The 23,727-nt window shown below is 36.3% G+C and overlaps 1 protein-coding gene across 11 annotated transcripts in view; it reads left to right on the top strand.

Moving 5' to 3' along the window:
• Positions 1-23,727, top strand: part of EXOC6B (exocyst complex component 6B) — a 650,050-nt gene that overhangs the window by 78,431 nt on the left and 547,892 nt on the right. For 10 of the 11 annotated variants that reach the window (NR_135774.2, NR_135773.2, XR_007071495.1 and 7 more), the window contains exons 2-5: positions 6,134-6,299; positions 14,485-14,532; positions 16,358-16,448; positions 16,551-16,596. Coding sequence is in view for 8 of the 11 variants with exons in the window: in NM_001321733.2 (NP_001308662.1) it covers positions 6,134-6,299; positions 14,485-14,532; positions 16,358-16,448; positions 16,551-16,596 (351 nt within the window). In the remaining 3 variants the exon portion in view is untranslated. The remainder of the gene's footprint in view (positions 1-6,133; positions 6,300-14,484; positions 14,533-16,357; positions 16,449-16,550; positions 16,597-23,727) is intronic. The other variant, NM_001321734.2, reaches the window with a different exon arrangement.

Raw genomic sequence — 23,727 nt, 5'->3', positions numbered from 1 at the left:
AAGTAGCAGAATATCAAGGGAAAGTGGCTTAAACAATGGGAAATTTATTAAGTCATATAACATGATGTTTGGAGATAGGGCTGTTTCAGGATTGCATCACTATCAAAGAGCCGAGTGTTTTCCATTTTCCCCTTTGCCATTCTAAGATTTTTTGGGCAATATCTTCTTCCTTTTCAGAATGGTTACTGCATCCTCAAACATTATGCTTTCACAGGACAATGTCTAAGGCAGGAAAAGCAGTTTCTTTTCCTGAATGCTTCAGGAAAGAAAACCTTTTCTTGGATCCTCACTGCCAGATTTTCCTTCTCATTGGTGAGATAAGTGTGTCACTGACCACCATATATTAACTGGTCACTCACAAAGAGAATGCAATTACCATGATTGGTTTACAGACTAATTAATATTTATCCTTTGTGGTAGGACAGAAATATCAGAATGAATTGGGACTCTTCCAATAGGAGGAAGAAGAGAATAGTTGTGTAGGCACAACTAATAGGCAACTTACTCATCTTGAAGTAGAAGTTTGTCTCTCTCTCTCTCTTTTTAAACCACTTAGCTTTGTGTTGGGCTTCATATTGCATTAGCTTTTTCTGTTTTCTTTGGGGGTCAGGCCTAATTGTATCGTAGCAAGCAATTAATTTTGATTAAGGCATTTAACTTGCCTGGGCCTCAGTTTCCTTGAGTGTACAATGAGAGCTTTGTCTTCCATCTCTAAGACCTGTTTCAACTAACATTTTGGGGGCCCATGCCACCTGCTTGCTTTCCTTGTTCAAAGAGATAGACTGATGCAGTAGAGAGGACACTTTCTAGCTATGTGAAGTTGGCAAGTTGCTTCATCTTGGGTTACAGGTTTCTCATTTATAAAATGGGAATAATGTCTAATTTATAAGATGCATTGGATTTAAATGAAATAATGCTTATAACATTATTTTTCCTCCTTCTTTGACAAGCAAATTTGAATTAATATAGGCTCTAAGCAAGTGATATAATCCTGTAGTGGTTTGGTACAGGTGAATGGTAAATATTTGTTCAACAGAATTACTCAAGTGCCATTTTATAAATTAAGATCTCTTAATATGCACATGAAATTTAGGTGGGCTATGGATATAGTATCATTATGAAATCTAGAGCTATGCACCAGATAGTTATACGAGGATAAATAATTTACTTTTTGCACAAACCGGTGGTTTATTTGGGGGTTTTTGGAAACCAGACTCCACATGGCAGCATTTATTTAGTTGAGTCAAATTTAGGCTATAAAAAGTTTAGTTAATTTCCATATATTTCTTCTTGTTTGCCTTTTACTAAGTACTATAGTAAAGTATATACTTTACTAAGAATATTATTGAGATTATCACAAATAATTAAACTAGTGGTGCAGTTTATTCCATAGATTGTCTTGTTTAACTGCAACATAACCTGGACATGTCAAAAACCTATGCCTTTGTTCTCAAGATCCTGCTTTCTAATAGTAATGGAAATTTAAACATTAGAGTACCTTACATATCATTTAGTAATCAGCTATAAGTCTCTGACCAACAGGTATTATGGAATATAGTTTTTAGATTTTTAAGCGGTCCTGTTTACTTGTAAGGCCACATCATTTCAAGGAATGTTAGAAAAGGGCCATCACTAGATGGCAGTCTTTCTCTACCTTAAGGTATTAAAAGAAAAAAATGCCACACTTTGTTCGACTGCATTGTTGACTACTGATATTAGATTAGCTTCAGTAGTAAATTTCTGACCTTTTCAGTGTTTAAGTCTTGTTTATTTTTGTTTTTAGCCTTTTATATCTGATGGATATGTTGGTTAGCAAAGTGTTATATTTAAATGTGCTTGAAATGCTGATTCATGGTGAACTGTTAGGTAGTGATCAGTCATAATTGCCTCTTCCTTTGGTAGACAATTTGAAATAAAATCTTTAAATTTGTGGTTTTTAACCTATTTGGTAACCAGATGGAAACTATTGGAAACTTTTTTTCTTAAAAATGCATATATGTACATCTACCTATATATACAAAATCCACCTAGGATCTGGGAATCATGGATTTCCTGAAACATACCTATGGAACACAAAGTCTTTTAAATATAGTCTTTATCCCCTGTTTTAAATATGGGTGTTTTACGTTTTATTCTTTCTTTTTTTTTAATTCTCAAAATACTCTGGCGATCTACTGCAAACCTTTCATGTTATTCTGCATAATAATTAAAGAGAATATTACAATCATAATGGTCCTAAGATAGGAGTAACAGATGGAGAGTAGTGATAAGCAGGTAGAAACTTTATTAACTTGTGTTTTATTTTGTTTTTTAAAGAAATGGGATCTCACTATGTTGACCAGGCTGGTTTCAAGCTCCTGGCCTCAAAGCAATCCCTCTATCTTGGCCTCCCAAAGTGCTGGAATTACAGGTGTGGGCCACCACCCCTGATCCATTAACTTGTTTTGAACTACTGCCTATTTATACTATTCTACAAATGTATGATCTTAGCATTGTTGACTAAACTTGAAAGTGGAGGCGAACTGTAGATACTTAAAGCTAAGCTAGTACTTTTAAGAGAATTGTAATTGATTGCTTCCTATTTTCTAGATGAGAAAGTTGAGGGTCGGAGAGATTAACTGGATTGGCCAAAGACCTATATATAGCAAGCTAATTACAGTGCTAAGATGAAGGCCACATAGTCAGGCAGCTAAAATCCACATTTCCTTTCTTAGGTTTTTGATTTTTTTTTTCTTTAAATAGGAAGATCAGAGAGCCTAGGGAGGCATTATTAATATAAGTTCTGCATTTCTTAACTTTGGAATTTGCTTTTCTGTGAGGTTGTCTTTTGTGACGTTACCGTAGATCTCTGGAGGGAAGAAATGAAAAGAAGTTTTACCCAGTAGAATGAACTATACTTGCCATTTAACTTAGAAGTATATTGAGTCAAGTCAGGGTGTACTGAATTTGAAACCAAGAGATTGTCTACTATTGAATAATATATCAGCTTATGCAATTTATATTGAGGAGTTTTCGGTGATTCTTCACGTTCTCCAAGTGTCAAGGTAAATCAGTATCTTTACATGGAAACCTTTCTTTTCCTTTCCTTTGAAAGGGGGAAAAGTTAAGCTTATTTGAGATTACTTGAAATGTCAACGGTAGATTCTCTTATGTATTCCAAACAGCTTTTTCAGGCAAGTGGTTATTCTACAGTTTTCCTACTTGTCAAAGCAGAGATTGTTTATAATTTATTTGACAATCTCCCTTTATTTCAAAGGAAGGAGAATGAATCCAGATTGCTCTGCCTTTTCTGAAGTAAGTGTTCAGAATCTTGACTGGAAGCCAAACATGTACAGTCATATGTTGCTTAGCAGAGAGGATATGTTCTAAAAAATGTGTCATTAGGTGATTTTGTTGTTGTGTGAACATCATAGAGTATACTTACACAAGCCTAGATGGTATATAGTCTACTACACACCTAGGCTATATGGTATAGCCTATTGCTACTAGGCTGCAAACCTGTACAGTATGTTGCTGTACTTAATACTGTAGGCAGTTATAACATACTGGTAAGTATTTGTATATCTAAATGTAGAAAAGGTAATGTGTTGCACTACAATACAAAGCCTATGACTTCACTAGATAATACAGTGGGACCACCATTATATATGTGGTCCATCGTTAACTAAAACATTATTATGCAGTGCATGACTATTCCTTTCATCTATGGCTACTGCTGAGTTTTGGGTGGTAGAACTGACCTCCTGTGGGGGGTGTGGTTTCTGATCCAGAGGATCAGCATAGTGATCCAGTACCCAGAAAGGATTATAGAACCAGAAAATGTTGGCAATGAGCAAATGAGTATTTCTTGAACAAATGTCAGAAATCAAAGAGTCCTTAGAGATAGTGTTAGTCATTCTTTACTCAGTGAATGTTTACTTATTGTCTACTACCTGTCTGGCACTGTTATAGAGGTACAGTATGACAGACAAAATTCTTGCCCTTGAACTTACAATCTAGTTGAGGTGGGTTGTGGGGAGGCGGAGATAGACAACATATCATGGACGGTGAGGAGGAAGAGATTGTTCAAAGGTATAGGGGATGAGCATTACTAGTATAAGAACTGCAAAAACAAAATTCTTGAGGCGGGAAGAGGCTTTAAAAAAAGCCAGGGTAGCTGGAACTTAGAGGATGGAAGGGAATTTGGGTGGGAACTAGAGAAAGGAGAGAAATGAGGTTAGAGAGGTAATGTGAGGTTACATTATGTAGGGCCTTACAGGCAGCAGTAAAGAATCAAGATTTTAATTCTGATCATTTTTGTTACTGTGTGGAGTGTCTGTTTTGGGGCAGGGGGTGGAGTAGATGGAAAGTGCAGAATGGAGACTGTCAGGAGGCTGTTGCATTGGTCCATTGTGGTGGTAATGTAGATTTAGATCGTGTTTTAGTGGAAATGGTGGAATATGGTAAATGTTAAGACATGTTTCGGAGGTTGAGTTGTCAGGACTTATTAATGTATTGGATAGGGTATGTGATGGAAGGAGATAGATTAGGAGTCATTCCTAGATTTTTGGCTTGGGCAATTGTATAGTGTGCCTTTAGCTGTGATGGGATGGGTAGGCGGTTGGGAAATTTGAGGAGGAACAGGTATGGGAGTGGAGATACATTAGTAATAAATACTTTTTTTTCTACGTTAAATACTGAGATGGCTTTTAAAAACCCAATTGGAATTAAATAGTAGCTGGATATTAGAATCTAGTGCTCAGGGAAATGCTCTGAATTATAGATTAGGAAATCAGCACTACAGAGATGATATTTTAAAGCCATGGAATTAGATGGCTTCGCTTAATGAGAGAGCACAGGTGGAGAAGAGAAGAGATTTTAGGAATACTTCGGAATGTAATAGAGGAGGAGGAGCTGAGAATGGATATTGAGAAGGCACATCAGTGAGAGGTTAAGAAACATGTTAGTATGGTATCATTGAAGTCTACTGGAGAGAGTGTTTAAAGAAGGAGAGAATATAAAACCATATCAAATGCTGCTATTAGGTGGAGTACAATGAATACTTTAGTAAGGCAAAGAAGTGAGGAAGTGGAAGGGAGTTTTGCTGGGAAGGGAAGAGGGATGTGTAGTTAAGGGCAGGATTTAAAAAGACATGTATAGGCTGTGCTTGGTGGCTCATGCCTGTAATCTCAGCACTTTGGGAGGCAAAGGTGTGAGGACTGTCCAAGGCCAGGAGTTCAAGATCAACCTGGCCAACATATTGAGACTTCATCTTTTATTAAAAAAATAAAAACAATTATATTTAAATAAAAGTTATGTTTATATACACATGAGAATCATCTAGTAAAGAGGGAGAAATATATGTTACCAAGGAGGGATAAATGGGAAAACTTGCAGGAATAAAATTCTTGAGACAGCAAGAGGGACTGAATTGTAGATACGAGCTTGGAACACTTATTTTATCGTTACTGGTGGGTGGAGAGTAGGAGCTACAAATGTAAAGTAGACTGGTTGATTTTAATGAGGGAAGAGGAGGTAGTTCTTTGTGCCTGTTTTTTTCTGTAAAGTATATAGTCAGATCAGCAGCTGAGGCTGAAGGTATGAACATTTGAGGAGAGGACAAGGTAAGGTTCCCACACATAAGTACTTTAGAATACAAAGTGATTTTTCTGGGATGTGAGATGGGGGAATGGTTGTAGTAGAATTATCTAGCGATATTGACTGCCTAATTTAGATTTGTAGTTACATGGCTACCCTGAGTCTAGCCAGCACAGCTGTGTGTTTTTTCTCTAGCTGTGTTCAATTTCTTGAATATGCTCATGGAGCAATTGGATAGTTGAATTTAACTAAAATTGAGCTTTTCTAGACTAGTTAAATTGAAAAAGAAAGATACAAGGGAGTTGTAATTCAGTCTTTTAATTTTATGATGAGAATTTTGTGACAAATACTGTCAGGCAGTCAAATATTTTGGAATGAATAAGAAAGCAAAAGTTTCGATTTTCCTTAAAAATACTCATTTAACAATAAGGCATGTTAATATACAGTTGGATTATTTTGTGGCTTATGTGCCCTAAATTTGCTTCTGGATTTATAATTTTGTTTTTCCTTCTTAGAAGTAACCATGGTATAATCTTCGTGCCATTTTTTTTTAAAGGTCTGTTTATGATGGTGAAGAACATGGACGTTTCATGGAGAAGCTTGAAACTCGTATCCGTAATCACGACCGAGAAATTGAGAAAATGTGCAACTTTCATTACCAGGGCTTTGTGGACTCTATAACTGAACTGCTGAAAGTGAGAGGAGAAGCCCAGAAACTCAAAGTAAGAAGGCTCTAAGAGATACTGTTTCTCCGTCCTGTGTTGGGGTTTTGATTAGGATTAAAGGATTAAGGATTATAACATAGAACACATATTTGTAGTGAAGATTTTTGTATAATTAGAAAGGAATTTATACTGAAACGTACATTCTTGAGAGTATGGCTTTTTAGCTAAAAACAATACCCACCCCCCCTTTTTTTTTTGAGGCGGAGTCTCGCTCTGTCGCCCAGGCTGGAGTGCAGTGGTGCGATCTCGGTTCACTGCAAGCTCCGCCTCCTGGGTTCACGCCATTCTCCTGCCTCAGCCTCCCGAATAGCTGGGACTACAGGCGCCCACCACCACGCCCGGCTAATTTTTTTTGTACTTTTAGTAGAGACGGGGTTTCACCGTGTTAGCCAGGATGGTCTCGATCTCCTGACCTCGTGATCTGCCCGCCTCGGCCTCCCAAGGTGCTGGGATTACAGGCGTGAGCCACCACGCCCAGCCAAGATTACCCTTTTAAAGTTATATTTTAATTGGGATAACTACATGTGGACCAGAACCAGTGATCAGTAGCTGGTTCTTTTAAACAGAAACTCAGTTTGACTCTTCATGTTTCTGTTTCCTTGCTGGATAAAAGCTATCATTGTAGAATGATAGAATTTCAAGGCATTGCTATAAAATTCTTTGTAGCATGCCACCTAGGCCAAAAGAAAAAAACCGTTGGTTGTTGTGGAGGGTCTTCTACCAAAGAATGAAGGTTATTTCCTGGTGTGGCTGATTAAGGTCCAGGAAGGAGGCTAGGCACATTTGTCTGGTCCCTGGCATAGCAAAGTCACTTATCTTAGATAACTCATTTTGCTTATTGATCTTAAATCTAACTACTTCAGTAAGCTCTTCTGTTATTTCTAATAATTTATATGTAATTTGAGTTTTCTATGTAAACACTCCTCATATGATCTGTAAGTAATAACAGTTTTATTTTCTTCTTTCAAGTCCTTATGCTTTTAATTCTTTTTTTCTTATTGAAATTTGAATTAGAATCCTAAAAGGATTTTCCTGGGCATGGGGTTAACTTGACAGTGAGTGTAAAATTCGTTTAAAAAATATATTGGTAAGGAAAGCAAAGAAACAGTTTTACTAAGGGGCAAAGTGGGCTGTCAGACATTATATTGTATTCTAAAGCTATAATAATTTAAAAACTCAATTGATTATAGATAGTTTCATGACCTAAATCACATGAAGCTATCAAATTTCTTATTTTATTTAGCATGAATTTTTGTGTTTTGCTGCAGAAATATTAGCATGTTTGATTATATGGTGCTATCCTAGTCCCCATTGGGTGGGGGTATTATGTAATATACAATATTTACCTTAATATCTTTAAAAAATTTCCAAAATGCTTAAGTTTAAACACATTAGGTCCTAAGGTTTTAAAAAAGAATTTATGGACCTGTACAACAGTATCCAGCCATCTTAAGAAATTATATTGCCATCATAATTAAATCTCTCAATAGTACCCCTCTCAGTTGCTTTCTCTACTCTAGAGGTAACAGTCTTTTGATTTATTGTTAATGTTCTTTAATGCTTAACTATTTTCATTTAAAGTAAGTTAGGTCTTTTCCTTATTCAACATATTGAAATTAATTTCAGAGGAACTAAAGAGTTAAATGTAAAAAATAAAACCATGAAAGAACTAGTAGAAAATATAGGTGAATATTTATATTATTTTGAGACATTTCTAAACAAAATTTCTAAACCAGAAAGAAAAAATTGAGAGATGTAACAACATTAAAAGGAAAGAACCTATTCTACCTACAAATTAAAACTTAAAAGGCAAATAATAAAAAATACTTACAAACACATATGGCAAATTGTTGATATCCTTATATATGAAGATTCTTGGTAAATCAATAGGAAAAATGTGAACATTCTAATAGAAAAATGAGAAATACACAATAACGTACAGTTTACATAAGAAGAAATACAAAGGAGCTCTACAATTTGGAAAAAAATTAAAGGAATGCAAATTTAAACAATAAGGTGTCAATACTTAAAACCCCACGTAATTTTAGGATTTATTCTAAGGCTGTAAGTGCATGTACAAGGATGTTCATATGATGTTTTCTTTTAATAGGTAAAACTTGAAAGTGTTCCTAACATCACTTAATAGAGGATTACTAAAAGAAATTGTGGTGCATCTATTTGAAATAATAATAAACTACAGTACAGAGGATATTTGACATGGGAAAGTATTAGAGATGTTTGCTTAATGTATAAAGCTGATTAAAATGTATGAACAGTATGACTATTTTTATAAACTAAATGCACATACTTTACATGTAAATAAATAAGCATTAAAGAAGATTAGAAGACTATATACCAAAATGTTATCAATAATCCCTTGATAATAAATAATTTTAATGTTTTCATTCTTGTGCCTTATGCCTCAGCCTCCCAGGTAGCTAGGACTACAGGTGTGTACCACCATGTCTGGCCAATTTTTGTATTTTTAGTAGAGATGGGGTTTCGCCATATTGGCCAGGCTGGTCTTGAACTCCTGTCCTCAAGTGATCTGACCGTCTCAGCCTCCCAAAGTGTTGCTATTACACACATGAACCACCATGCCTGACCATATTAAAGAATCTCAATAGTGCGTCTTTCTATGTATTGGTCTATACATTTGTAATCCTTAAATTTTGTGGGCTGATGAGCCTCAGCTGGACAAAAGTATCTGAAATGCTTTTCTTTGTATTTTAAGTTTCCTGCAGTTTCAACTGACGATTTTGAATGTTCATCAGAAAACTCAGTTTTGAAGTGTACACATTAATACAAAATTTTCATTCAATATGGGAAAATGATAAGTTGAAATCCATGTTAAAAAATGAGGAAGACTAAAACTAAGGAGATGGTGAAGAAGGGGCAGACTGCAGAGATGCTTATGAGATATGGTATCTCATATATCTGGAATAGAGCCCATGACTCTTAGGTTTCTGGTTTGGGTGACTCAGTAGTTGGTAGTTCTAGTCACTCATATGGGGAATGAAATGGAGAGGGCCAGAATCTCATGAATAGTTTGAATCTTCTCTCTAAAAAATGTATACATGCATGAGAACATGAGAGTGTAAATTGAGAACAATTTCTGATGACTTCATAGAGAAACCCATAGAGTGAGTCCTCTAGGGCATGCTTCCCAACCCTTTTCTTGTCACAGCACACATAGAAAGTCATATTTGAATGGCAGGCACCTAAGAATAAGCTAGAGTGTTTTTGGGGGAACATGAGACTTGTTTTAAAAAAATCTTTACATTTTCTTTATGTATTATAATAAGAAAAATAAAATACAGAGTATTAGGATATATTACAAATATATAGAAATGTTCTAAACATATAGAACTGTTCTAAACATTCTAAAATGTTTCATCATTTTAAAATGAGAAACTTGAACTTGCTACCGTAAAATAACTTTTTTTTTTGAGACAGAGTCTTGCTCTGTTGCCTAGGCTAGAGTGCAGCAGCGTGATCTTGGTTCACTGCAACCTGTGCTTCCCAGGTTCAAGCGATTATCCTTCCTCAGCCTCCCAAATAGCTGGAATTACAGGTGCACCACCATGCCTGGCTAATTTTTGTATTTTTGGTAGAGATGGGGTTTCACCATGTTGACTAGGCTGGTCTGGAACTCCTCAGCCTGGGAGTTCCGCCCACCTCATCCTCTCAAAGTGCTGGGATTACAGGTCTGAGCCACTGCACTCAGCCTGAAATAACTTTTTAAATATTTAGTTTTCTGCTTAAAATGACTATATGCTATGCAAATGTAATCAAGACTTTAAAAATGATAACCTGTTTGAATTTCTCATAGACACTATTCAAGAGAACCTTTTCTCATAAGTAGGTGATACAAAACATTGAATTATTTCTACATCTATTAAAAAAGTGAACCATCTGAAAGTATATTAAAGAACTTTTTTTTTTTTAATTTTTTTTGAGGCAGAGTCTCACTCTGTTGCCCAGGCTGGAGCTCAGTGGCACAATCTTGGCTCACTGCAATGTCTGCCTCCTGGGTTCAAGCGATTCTTGTGCCTCATGCCTCAGCCTCTCAAGTAGCTAGGACTACAGGCATGTACCATCATGCCTGGCCAATTTTTGTATTTTTAGTAGAGAGGAGGTTTTGCCGTGTTGGCCAGGCTGGTCTTGAACTCCTGTCCTCAAGTGATCTGACCGTCTCAGCCTCCCAAAGTGTTGGTATCACAGGCATGAACCACCATGCCTGGCCATATTAAAGAATCTTAGTAGTGCGTCTTTCTATTTATTGGTCCATACATTTGTAATCCTTAAATTTTGTGCGCTGATCAGCCTTAGCTGGACAAAAGTATCTGAAATGCGTGAAAACAGAGATAGGGGGTTTCCTGCCAGGACCTGTGAATGCTATTTGTCCTCACCTAGCCATCCCATCTTCTATACTCATCTTGGGCTGTTCTTTTCTATGCTTCTTAGACACCTCTATCCCACACTTCTCCCATAGCTCCTTGGTGCCCTGGTCCATGATAGTCAGCACAATGTTTTGTCTCTGGTTATCGAAGTAGTCGTGTGGTAGAATACCTCCTTGGCAGGGTAGTACTGAATATAGCTCATAATGCTCCTGAATTGCTGATATCACTTGTTGGTTGGTACTCATCTTCTTTTCCTCTTACTTCCCTTGCCTTCCATCAAATTTCTTCAAGTTGCAAATTCCTTCAACTTGCTGAGGATGCCCCAGCAGGAATACTTGAACTGGAGGCTACTGGTTTAGGGTTTTAGTCTGTTTCAGGCTCCACCCAGTTACTTTGAGGGCAGAGGGGATTAATGTCTAGCAGGACACCTGGGAGACTCTGCTCTAAGGGGATTCATTTGACCTAGGTTCAATGAATGAAAAAAAGTTTCCTGAACTCTAGAAATAGTTTAGACAATGTAAAAAGTATTACAACTGTCAATGCTATTTCAACATACCAATGAAAAGAAATCGTACTCTAAGATGCCCATTATTTCTTTTGATTCTCAGTGTATACATACACACACTTATCTTCTTTGAAATAAATGAAGTAGCATCCTAGACAGCTGGTATAGTTTCTTTTTATTGTTTTGTTTTTTTTTTTTTAATTTTTTGAGACAGAGTGTTGCTCCGTCAACCCAGTCTGGAGTGCAGTGGTGTGATCTCGGCTCACTGCAAACTTTGCCTCCCAAGTTCAAGTGATTCTCCTCAGCCTCAGCCTTCTAAGTAGCTGGGACTACAGGTGCATGCCACTACGCCCAGCTAATTTTTGTATTTTTGTAGAGAGGGGGTTTCACCATGTTGGCCAGGCTGGTCTTGAACTCCTGGTCTCAAATGATCTGCTGCCTCAGCCTCCCAGAATGCTGGGATTACAGGTGTGAGCCACTGCGCCTGGCCTTTTTTTATTGTTACGCATTGAAATAGTTATTGAATGGTATTGACACAGTTATTATCTTTATTTTTTTGAGATGGAGTTTCGCTCTTTTGCCCAGGCTAGAGTGAAGTGGCACGATCTTGGCTCACTGCAATCTCCACCCCTGCAACCCACGTCCCCCCACCCGGTTCAAGCGATTTTCCTGCCTCAGCCTCCCAAGTAGCTGGGATTCTAGGCATGCACCACCATGCCCAGCTAATTTTTGTATTTTTAGTAGAGACTGGGTTTCACCATGTTGGCCAGGCTGGTCTCAAACTCCTGACCTCAGGTTGATCCACCTGACAAGGACTCCCAAAGTGCTAGGCTTACAGGTGTGAGCCACTGCACCTAGCCCACAGTTATTATCTTTCTTACTGGAAGCATTCATTAGGTTCCTAGGGATATGTTTTACGTCCATGGTTTGCATGAAATTAATTTAGTGTGCCTTGATCAGTATTTTTGACAAAAACTGAAATTAAATATAATCGAATTGAATAGAAAACAAGAGAGTGCATTACATGTACTAAGGATAAACATTGTTTCTTGAAAATTGTGTGTGTGTTCCCTATACTTGTGTACTGAGTTGCAATGGAAAATGTATTTTTTACAGTGAGTTTAAGGTGAAAAAAAGTGAGAAATGGTGCCTTCATAAGGCAAACAAGGCTACTCTAGTAGATAATGTTGCTGAATTTAGGAGTATTATGGAGGGTTGTATTTTAGGAGACCTCCAGTTTAGGATAAAAAATATCTAATTTATTATTGAATAACTACTGTAATGGGGATAGCATTATCACCCAAGGAAGCCCGTATGATTTTTATTCACATTGCTTGAACACTTTTTCTTATATTGAGCTGAATACTGTTTTCTAGTAACAAACATTGGTTTGAGTAATAAGCTCCATTTTTACGGAGCCACTTTACTTCTGATAGCTCTTCAGATATTTGAAGGGCAGCCATTGTTTAAGTTTGGTTTATAGTATATAGGGTCCAGGTATGGGGTATAGTGTCTCCAAGTGAATATTTTTCCCCTTTCTTGGCTAAAAATGGCTTCATCTGTTTTTCCTGTGGTTAGCTTTGACTCCCTCTGCAAATGTGTTCACTTCTAACCATGCTTCAGCTTGTAAAGCCTTCTTAAAATGTGGCATCCAATTGTAAATTTCATAGTGTGGTATTACTACCTTACCATCACGTTTATTCTAGACCAGGGGTTAGCAAACTCTGTCTCTTAGGCCAAATCCAGCTTGCCTCCTGTTTGTGTAAATAAAGTTTTATCGGAACACAGCCATGACCTTTCATTTACCTTTATTTTCTTTATGGCTGCATTCCTGCTACAGAGGTAGAGTTGAATAGTTACAACAGAGATTGTATGGCTTGCAAAGCCTAAAATATTTACCATCTAGCCCTTTATGGAAACAGATTGCTGACCCCCTTTTAGACAATGCTTCCATTAACATTGTCTTAGATGTGCATTTTGGACGGCTTTATCACTCTTAATTTGTATTGAGCTCAGTGCAATAAAACCACAAAGTGTTTCACATGTGGTGCCATTAATTAAATAATAAAGAGGGAATTTGCTGATTTCTTGCCTCCCTTTCTGGTACTTTAAAGAGGCTTCCTGGAGGAGTTCAGATTTCATTTTGGCTTTGGATGGAGGTGCATATGGTAATCTGCTTTGAATGATAGTCCAGGTATAGTGTATCGTTCAGAGCAGTGATTTCAAAAGTGTATTCTTTTAAAAAACTAGCTCCTTGAGAAGATCTTCAGTTAAAGGGTATTACGTTAGATAAATTTGGAAAACATCCTATATGATATCCCTTTCTTGGGCATTTACAGTGCATATCATATCGTGTGTATTTGTGTGTGTGTTTATGTCTGTGAGACTGTGTGTGCTCGCATGTGCATGGCTGTGTGCATGTGCAGAGTACCTGCTAAGTAACACTTCTTGATGTCCTAAGGGACATAATAGGAAATGCTAGGTTAGGGGATGCACTAAAAGTATAAGGAGTAGCAATTACTGGTGGAAGGCTAGAAAGCGTTTATTAAACAACATTTTAGAAGTTAGTATTGCTTATGTTTTGATATCACAGATGATGAGGAAATTACTATCCTATATAATTAATTTTTTCCATCATTGAAATGTCAAGAGTGAATATCAAAAAAAGTAGATGCCATTTCCTTTATATAATGAACTCTGGATCATTTAAGGGCTTATTCACAAATTTTTGACTATCTGATGGAGAGATTATATTGGAAAAATGGAAGTATGGAAGTGTTAGGAGCTGTTAAGAATTAATGATCCAAAAAGAATTAAGGTAAAGCATTTTCTAAAAATAAGATAATAAGCAAACAGGGAAACTTTGACTTGAGTTAACAAGTTCAGTGTATACCCAACTTTTCTAGGAATACATTGGTGAAATGAGGAATATCTGTATAAAATTTGTACTTTCTATTTTATTTTTCTCTCCCCTTTTTCCTCTTGTCTCCCCAAAGTTAAAGTGCGATCTTTAGTTATTATGGTAGCTTAGTTTAGAACTGTTCTAAACTCACCATATTTGTTAGCAAATTTTTCTTTTCAAAAGGTCATGCAAACATCCAGTAGAAAAGTTGACATAATTTAAACCCAAGAGAATGCCACTGGACCAATATGTAGTGGAGTACTGAAAATATTTAACTGCCTATTCCTAATCTTTTCATATTAAATTTAGATCTTTTTCAACTATTGTCTAAATGTTTGTTTTTTATGAGTTTAAATTGTCTTCTCTCCACAGAATCAAGTGACGGATACTAATAGAAAACTACAACATGAGGGAAAGGAAGTAAGACCAGTTTACCTTTTGAAGAAATCTTTTCTGTTTCATGCCACTCTCTTTTAATGACTATGTTATTCATTTAGTGGTTAAGACTGTAAGTAGTATGTTGGAAGTACTTGGACATTATTGTTGCTTTTCCTAATGTTTATCTGAATTAAATGAACATAGTCACTGGGAAGTCTAAGGAGACAGGATACAGGCTTCTTAGTTGTGCTTTTAAATCATCGACTTGTCATAATACAGTAATGCTCTTCCTCTGCCTGATATGTTATTTCCTCAATATTCACCTTCTTCAAATCTTTGCTCAAATGTTGCCTTCTTAATGAGGCCTTTCCTAACCACCTTATTTGAAATTGTAGTCTCACTCTCACCCGTGCATTCTTTTGATCCTTTCCCACTTTTTCTTCATTGTGCCTGTCATGCTCTGATATTATATTTAACATATTTTTTACTTATATTTTTTTTTGTATGTCATTCTCCATTGGAAATTAAACTCCATGAGATTAGGAATTTTTGTTTGCTTTATTCATTGCTGTATCCCCTCCATCTACCTAAATAGTGACTGGCACAGTGTGGATGCTCAACAAATATTTATTTAAAAGATTAATCAACCAGGCACAGTGGCTGAGATTATACGCTCTAATCCCAGTGCTTTGGGAGGATGAGGTGGGAGGATCACTTGAGGCCAGGAGTTTGAGACCAGCTTGGGCAACATAGTGAGACCCCATCTCTACCTGCCCCCCAAAACAAAAAAAACAACCATAACCAGGCGTGGAGGTGCATGTCTATAGTCCCAGCTACTTGGGAGACTGAGGTGGGAGGATCTCTTAAGCCCAGGAGTTTGAGGTTGCATTGAGGCATGATTGCGCCACTGCACTCTCAGCCTGGGTGACAAAGGGAGACCCCATCTCTATCCCCCCACCATAAAAAAAATCATTGATTCTATTGATTGACATATTTACCATTTAAACCATCACAGTTTACAATATTTTTATATCTATTTGCTCATTTGATCCTCATGGCCGACAAAATCAGGACAGGTATTATCACTGTTTTATTGATGAGGAAACTAAAACAAATGATTTGCTGTATTTTACATAGTTATTGGCAAGGCTGGGACTAAAACCCAGGTTTTCTGACTTGTAGTACATGACTGTTCTCTGTTATCATGCTTCTTTCTTATCACCTAATACTTTTTTGATGTTTAATTTTAATAACCTTTAAGATTAGCTTTTGATTGTTTTATCAGTGACTTAGGACCATTCTCTTGTTCTTTTCTGCATGGTATCTAAGCAGATAATAACATTTTTAGGTATGGGTATAGGATGAATGCTGCAAGTAGATGTGTAGATTATTACTTTTTGAAGAAGTTTGTCTCACATTCTAAATTCTGTGGAGTACAATTTCTTCTAGTTATATTATGGTATGACTTCTGATAGAAGCCCTTAAAACTGGGGCTAGGGGAATAAAAGTGAATTACTTTTCAACAAACTGTAACTTTTAGAAAGGCCACATCTTTTAAGTGTGTGGGTTTATTTGTTGAAATAGAGATTTAGTTGAAGATAGTTTTTTTCTCCTGGATAACCCTTGTATTTTAGGACTTCATTTTACCTAGCCCTTCCTAGTATTGTATGTATCTTGGGGAGAAAGCGGGAAACTGTGCAGGAATGTTTTACTGGTTAGGAAAGGCAGTTCCTTAGTTCACTTGGCAGGTCTTACTATGAAACTGTCTGGGATTTTCTGATGAATTGAACACAGTGTGGAAAAATGTGACTGAAAGCTTTTTATTTACAGCCATAGGCATAATTCAGTCTTTTTCCCTCTTGCCAAGCTGGTAATAGCAATGGAAGAGCTGAAGCAGTGTCGACTACAACAGAGAAATATTTCTGCCACTGTTGATAAATTAATGCTGTGTCTTCCAGGTGAGGAACTGGAAATGGAGAAGGATTCTTGGTGTAATTTTTTTTTTGCTTTAATTAGGCTTTCTCTAAATCATGTTTGTGTATTCTTTTCTTTCTTTTAAGTCCTAGAGATGTACAGCAAACTGAGGGACCAGATGAAAACTAAAAGGTAAGATTTTTTTTTAATCGAACAGTTTTTACTATCTAAAATTTCTGTTGTTTAGAATACGTTTAGGTCCATATTTAGCATAACTTTTCAAAAAATTAAGTTTCTAACATCTTAACCTTTTGTATATTTATTGATTCATTCTAGATTTATTTATATATATTAGTGGTATGCTAATGTGTTCTGTCATGTATTATGTTTAATAAATAATACTTACAGTTAGATTTTTAAAAGACCCAGTCTTTTAGGGAAAAGCATATACCTATTTTAGTGATAGTTGGTTTGAGATATGTTTTGATTCATTTAATAGTGTCCTTGAAGAAAATAGTACTGGTTTTGGTGCAAGAGTACATTAACTGGGGTTCTTAAGAAAAACAGAACCAATAGCGTGTGTGTGTGTGTGTGTGTGTGTGTGTGTGTGTGTGTGTGTCTCTGTCTGTTTACCTACTGGAGAGGGAAGTACTTATTTTAAGGAATTGGCTCACATGATTGTGGAGTATAGCAAGTATAGCAAAAGCTGCAGTGTAGTCCAGCAAGCTAGAGTCCAGTGAAGAGTTAAGATAATAGCTTGAGTCCAAAGGGACTCTTCTGTAGAATTCCCTCTTCCTTGGGCACAGTCAGCCTTTTTCCTATTAAGGTTTTCACCTGTGGTGGAATGAGGCCTACTCACATTATGGAGGGTAATCATCTTTACTCATAGTCTACTGACTTAAATGTTAATCTCATCTAAAAAATACCATCACAGAAACATCTAGAATAATGTTTGACCAAATATCTGGCTCCTCTGGTCAGCCAAGTTGCCACATAAAATTAACTATTGTAAAGGGGAAGGGTGAGGTTAAATTCAGAGGATTTCTCTTCTGTATGTTGTTTTCTTCTAAAGGAAAATCTACAGTGACTCTATAGTTCTGCTCCCCAAACTAGAATAAGCATCTCCAACCTCTCTGCCCTGAGATGCCCTGTAGTATGATGGGGATATATGAAGCTATAGGATAATCAAAGCATATCTTCCTGGAATGTTAATTTTACCTAGGTTTTGAGGGAAAAAGTATACAATTAAAATATATTTAATATTGAGATAAGAATATAAATATGGATAAAAATTCAAAATTCTCAAGAATTGTGAAGCTGAATCATTAGACATTAAAATAGTAGGACATGCTCTCATAAGAGAACATGGATAGAACACTATGAGAAGTTCTGTCTGAGATATGAAGGTACTATTAGTTCCCTAATATCCTTTTAGTAAAGTTCTAAAATTATAGAGAATTTAAAATCACCCATGAGCCAGGTTCAGTGGCTCACACCTGTAATCCCAGCACTTTGGGAGGCTGAGGCGGGTGGATCACTCGAGGCCAGAAGTTCAAGACCTGCCTGGCCAACATGGAGAAACCCCATCTCTACTAAAAAACAAAAAAAGGAGCTGGGCATGGTGGTACACACCTGTAATCCCAGGTACTTGGGAGGCCAAGGCATGAGAATTGGCTCACATGATAGCTCGAATTTGGGAGGCAGAGGTTGTGATGAGCCAAGATTGCACCACTGAGCTCCAGCCTGGGTGACAGAGTGAATCTGTCTCAAAAAAAAAAAAAAAAAATCACCTGTGTACCAACTTCTCAGAATTAACAGATATTAACAATTTTCTAGTTTTGATTCATATATGTGTAAAGAAAAAAAATATATAGTATATATATAAAACATATATATGGACAGAAAGAGGTATATATATACTTTAAAAAATTACAGTTAAAATTTATGTTCCTTTCTTTGGTCCTATTCCTTTCCTTACTCCCCTGAGGAAACCAGTATCATAAATTTATTGAATGTTCTTCTATTCTGTGCTTTTAATATTTATAAATCATATATTGTTTTGTTTTGTGTCTAAAAAAGTTTATGTAGATGATTCTCAGTCCTCATTTTGAGATCTGTGTATTCGCTCAACAAAGATGAATCGAGTACCTACTATGCGCTAGGCATTACTCTTGGTTCTGGGGATACAGCTGTGAATAAAATAGATAAAAATATCTACCCTCTGGGGCTTGCATACTAGTAGGCAGCTTATTTTCTTTATGTGTATAGATACAGTTTGCTCGTTTTAATCACTCCATGGTAGTCTATTATATGAATAGTTCACATTTCCCCTGCCAGTTCCAGTGATTATCATAAGTGCTGTTCACCAATATTTCTAGCTGCTTCCTTTGGTGCAAGGTAATATTATATTTCCTGGGTTCCCTGTGTATATTTCCTGGGTTCCCAGTTCCATGTGACTTTTTCTGGCTGATAAGATGTGAGCAGAAGTGATATGTATCACTTTTGGGCTTAGCATTTAATTTTGCTCCAGAGTTCTCTTATTTTCCCTTGTTCTTGAAAAATGGCAACTCCAAGATGCTGGTTGAGTCCCTGAGTCACTTCAGGGAGCATAGCATACCTGCCAACCCATTATGAGTATATAACATGAGTAAGTTTTAAATCTTTGTTTTAAGTCACTGAGAGTTTGGGAGTGGTTATTACTATAACTATCCTTACTGATACTATTAGGGACATTTGGTATGTTTCCAGTAGTTATGACAGACAGTGGTACAATGAATATCCTTGTTCTTGTCTCCTTGGACTCACATTCAAAATTTCTTGAGAGTGTTGTTTTTTAGATGTTGCTATGCATGGAAATGATATCATAGGGATTAGTTAAATATAGATTCTGATTGAATAGGTCTGGCTGGGATCATTTCTGAGATTCTGCATTTTCTGCCACGTTCCTAGGTGATGCCAATTCTGTTGGTCTAGGGTCTATATCTAGAAGGAGATCAGCTGGATCAAAGAAAGGGTTTACATTGTCTTTGATCTTATTGTTGTTCTCTATGGTGATTTCCCATTTATCCTACCATTGTTATTTTGTGGGAGGTCCTGTTATTCTACCTCTTGGTAACATCTATATTGTCAAACTTTTTGGTTTTTGCCAGTCTCTCGTGATTGTGAAATGATAGATCACTATTGTGATTTTTATTTTATTTTTATTAGATTATTAGTGAATTTAGGTTTTAGGCATGTGGGTTTTCTCTCATCTACTTCCTGACCACTTTTAGGTTGTTTATTGTTTTCTTTTTCATTTATAGGAATTATATACTTTGGATGCCTTTTCCTGTTATATATTGTCTTCCAATGCATGGCTTACCTATTAACATTATATAATTAGTAGTTTTTGTTGCGTAGAAGTTTTAAGTTTTGGTATAATCAAATTTATTTTGTGGGTTTCAAAAAATTTTAGTTTTAGACCTTCTTAAGTTCAGTATAAATAACGGTGTCTTTTTCTTGAACCAGTTGAAAGTAAGTTGCTAACATGACACACCGTCATCCCCAATTACTTTAATGTGGTTCCTACAGATAAAGACATTCTTCTATGCAACCACAGTGCGATAGAGAATGGACATTAGCTTTGAAATATTTCTAGCACTTAATCGGCATACCCAATTCAAGTTTTGCCAATTGTCTCAATCATGTTCTTTCTAGCAAAAGAATCCAGTTCAAATCACATGTTGCTTTTAGTTGTCATGTCTCTTTAGTCTTTTTCAGTCTGGAACTGTCTTCAGCCTTTCCTTGCCTTTCATGACTTTATTACTTTTGAAGATTACAGGCCAGTTATTCTGTAGAATGATCTTGCTTTCTTTAAAAATCTCTCATCTGGCCATCTCTGTTTTTAAATGAGACTATTTAGATCTTTTACATTTCATACAATTATCAACATACGGGTTTAAATCTACTGTCTTCTAATGTATTTTCCATTTATCCTACCTGTTCTTTGTTCCTTCTGTGTATTCTTATCTTTTTAAAAAATCAATTTCTATATTTCAGGTTGTTGTTTTATATTTAGTAATGCCCTATTATTTATACCTCTTTGTTTTACAATTTTTCCTTGGTATCCTCAGTGTATTGGTTACAGAACCCCTGGGATAGGGGACTAGGTGTAGACGCTTAAGTCCCTTATATAAAATGGCATGGTATTTGCGTACAACCTATACACATCCTCCGAAAACTTTCAGTCATCTCTAGATTACTTAGAATACCTAATACAATGTAAATGCTATGTAAGTAGTTGTTACACTGTTTGGTTTTATTTGTGTTTTTTAAAAAATATTTTTGATCAATATAGTTGATTGAATTCATAGATCTGGAACCTGCAAATATGAAGGGCTGACTGTATTTTATTTTTTTCCTGGTTCCTTCTATCTTTACAATGTATGACTTACAATGAGTCTTTAAATATTACACCAAATCACACACAATGCAAGATTCTTATAATGATATTCTTCCATTTTACCCTCCCTTATGTCATTGTTGTTATGTTATTATTGTTAAGTTATTATGTCATAAGACCTATGACAACAATATAGTGTAGTGCCACACATGTTCATTTTTGCTGTAACTTTTAAAGAAATTTAAAAATTAAAGAGAAAAACTCTCACATTTTACCCACATTATTTTAAATGTAGATCCAAGTTTGTATCTGGTATTATTTTTCCCTTTTGATTAAATGACAACCTTTAATATTTCTTGTTGGATCAGTCTGCTGGCTATGAATTCTCTCAGAAATACAGTATTTCTGAAAAAAGTATTTATTTCACCTTCAGTTTTTAAATTGAATTACAATTCATATATCATAACATTCATCATTTTTAAGTGTACAGTTGAATAGATTTTAGTACATTCACGTGGTTGTAACATCATCATCACTAGCTGATTCTAGGACATTTTCATTACCCCAAAAAGGGTACCCATTCCTCTTTCCTCGCTGCCCTGGCAACCACTAATCTACTTTCTGACCCCATAGATTTGCCTCTTCTGAACATCTCATATAAATGGAATCATACAATATGCAGCCTTTTGTGTCTGACTTTTTCCACTTAGCATAATGGAAGGTTTTCAAAATTCATTCATGTTGTAGCATGTATCACTGTTTCATTCCTTTTTATGGCTGAATACTCTCTCATTGTATATATACTGCTTTAGTTACCTTTTCATCAGTTGATGGACATTTAGGTTATTATCACTTTTTAACTATTACGAATAATGCTGCTACAAATGTTCATTTACAAGCTTTTGTGTGAGCATATGCTTTCAGTTTTCTTGCAAATATACTTAGGAGTAGAATTTCTGGGTCGCATGGTAAACATTTGGTGCACTTTGTCTCTCTGTATGTTTTACCATTTTGAGGAACTGTTAGATTCTTTTCCAAAGCACCTGCACCTTTTTATCTTCCCAACAGCAGCATAGATGTTTCCAATTTCTGCATAGCCTAGCCAATACTTATTATTGTCTACCCAGGCCAGGTGTGGTGGCTTACGCCTGTAATCCCAGCACTTTGGGAGGCCGAGGTGGGCAGATTGCTTGAGCCCAGGAGTTTGAGACCAGCCTGGCTAACATGGTGAAACCCCATCCCTACTAAAGATACAAAAATGAGGCGGGTGTGGTGGTCTGTGTCTGTAACCCCAGCTCCTCAGAGGGGCTGAGGCATCAGGATTGCTTGAACCAGGGAGGCGGAGGTTGCAGTGAGCCGAGATGGCGCACTGCACTCCAGCCTGGGCGACAGAGTGAGAGTCTGTTTAAAAAAAAAAAATCCTTATTATTTGACTTTAATGTAGCCATCCTGGTGGGTGTGAAATAGTATCTCATTGTTTACCTTCATTTAAAAAAAATCCTTGATGGATATAGAATTTGAGGTTTATAGTTTCATTAGTTTATAAGACATGATGATTTCATTGTCTTCTGGCTTCTGAGAGATGTATAAGTAGCCTTACCTTTGTCTCCCTGTAAGTAGTATGTCTTTTCTCTAGCTGCTTTAAAACTTTTGTCTTTATCATTTGTTTTCAGGCAGTTTGATTTTGTGCACTTTGGTGTAAATATGTGCACACATGTGTGTATTTATCCTGCTTGTGGTTTGTTTAGCTTCTTGGATCTGTGGGTTTACAATATTCATAAAATCTGGAAAATGTTGACCTGATTTCTACAAACTCTTTTTTTGTCCTTTTCCCATCACCATTTTGGGACTTTAGTTATATTAATATTTATGTTGGACAGCTTGATTAACCCCACAGGTGACTTGAAGATCTTTTCTCCCCACCCCCTCAGCCCTCTCTGTGCTTTATTTGAGATAGATTTTATGGCTGTGTTCGAGCACATTGATCTCTCTCATTTGCATTGTGTAATGTTTTAGTCCCTTTCAGTGACATTTTCATTGCAGATAATATATTTTTCATGTATAGAAGTTACATTTAGCTTTTTATGTTTTATTTCTTTTATTATTTGTTTTTCTTTACATACATGTACATTGTTCTAATTGCTGTTTTTATGTACTCCTTTGCGAATTCTGCCACTTCTGGTATTTTTTTAGATCTTTCTGCAGATTGATTTTGTTTTTCCTGGTTGTAGGTCAGTTCTTTGCTTCTTTTCATGTCCAGAAATTTTTGATTGATTAATGAACATTATGTTGATGAGTCTCTGGATTTTGGGGTGCTTTTTTTTTCCTTTAGAGAGTGTTGGGCTTTGTTTTAGCGAATGGTGAGTTGATTGCAGATCAGTTTGTTACCTTCAAACCCAATTTTTAAGCTCTGCTTAAAGGCCCACCTTTATTCCAGGGAAGTTCAGCTTTACTAAGTAAGACTTGATCCGTCTATAATCTACTCTGAATAGCTCAGGAGTCCCCAACGACTCTTCATTTTGACTGTTCAGAGTTTGAATGTTTATCTGCCTTGTCTGAGATTGTGGAAGTGTTCATCTTACCTTCCCCTGGCTGGTCTCCCACTCTCTCCCTTCCTTCCTTCTTTTTACCTATCCATGTGGAATTTCACTTTCTCTATGCCTGTCCTAGTACTTAGCAGACTCAAGGGAACCCCTGTGTAAATTTCTGCAGTTCTTTTTCTGCATTGCTCTTTTTTTGGGGAACTCTGCCACACAACTTCAAGCTGAATCAACTTTCCTGAGCTACTATCACTGATTCTTTAAGTCAGCAAGGCTGCTGAGCTCTGTTTTGATTTTTTCTGGCTGTGCCCATGACCTAGAAGTCAACTTTAGGTAGATAATCCTGGTAATTATTAAACTCACCTTGTTTGTTTCTCTTTTTACAGAGATAGCAGTTCTATG

Source organism: Homo sapiens, chromosome 2 (genome assembly GCF_000001405.40).
Source record: "Homo sapiens chromosome 2, GRCh38.p14 Primary Assembly".
Classification (NCBI taxonomy): Eukaryota; Metazoa; Chordata; class Mammalia; order Primates; family Hominidae; genus Homo; species Homo sapiens.
The sequence above is the reverse complement of the archived record's forward strand: the minus strand, read 5'-3'. Positions and strand labels throughout refer to the sequence as shown.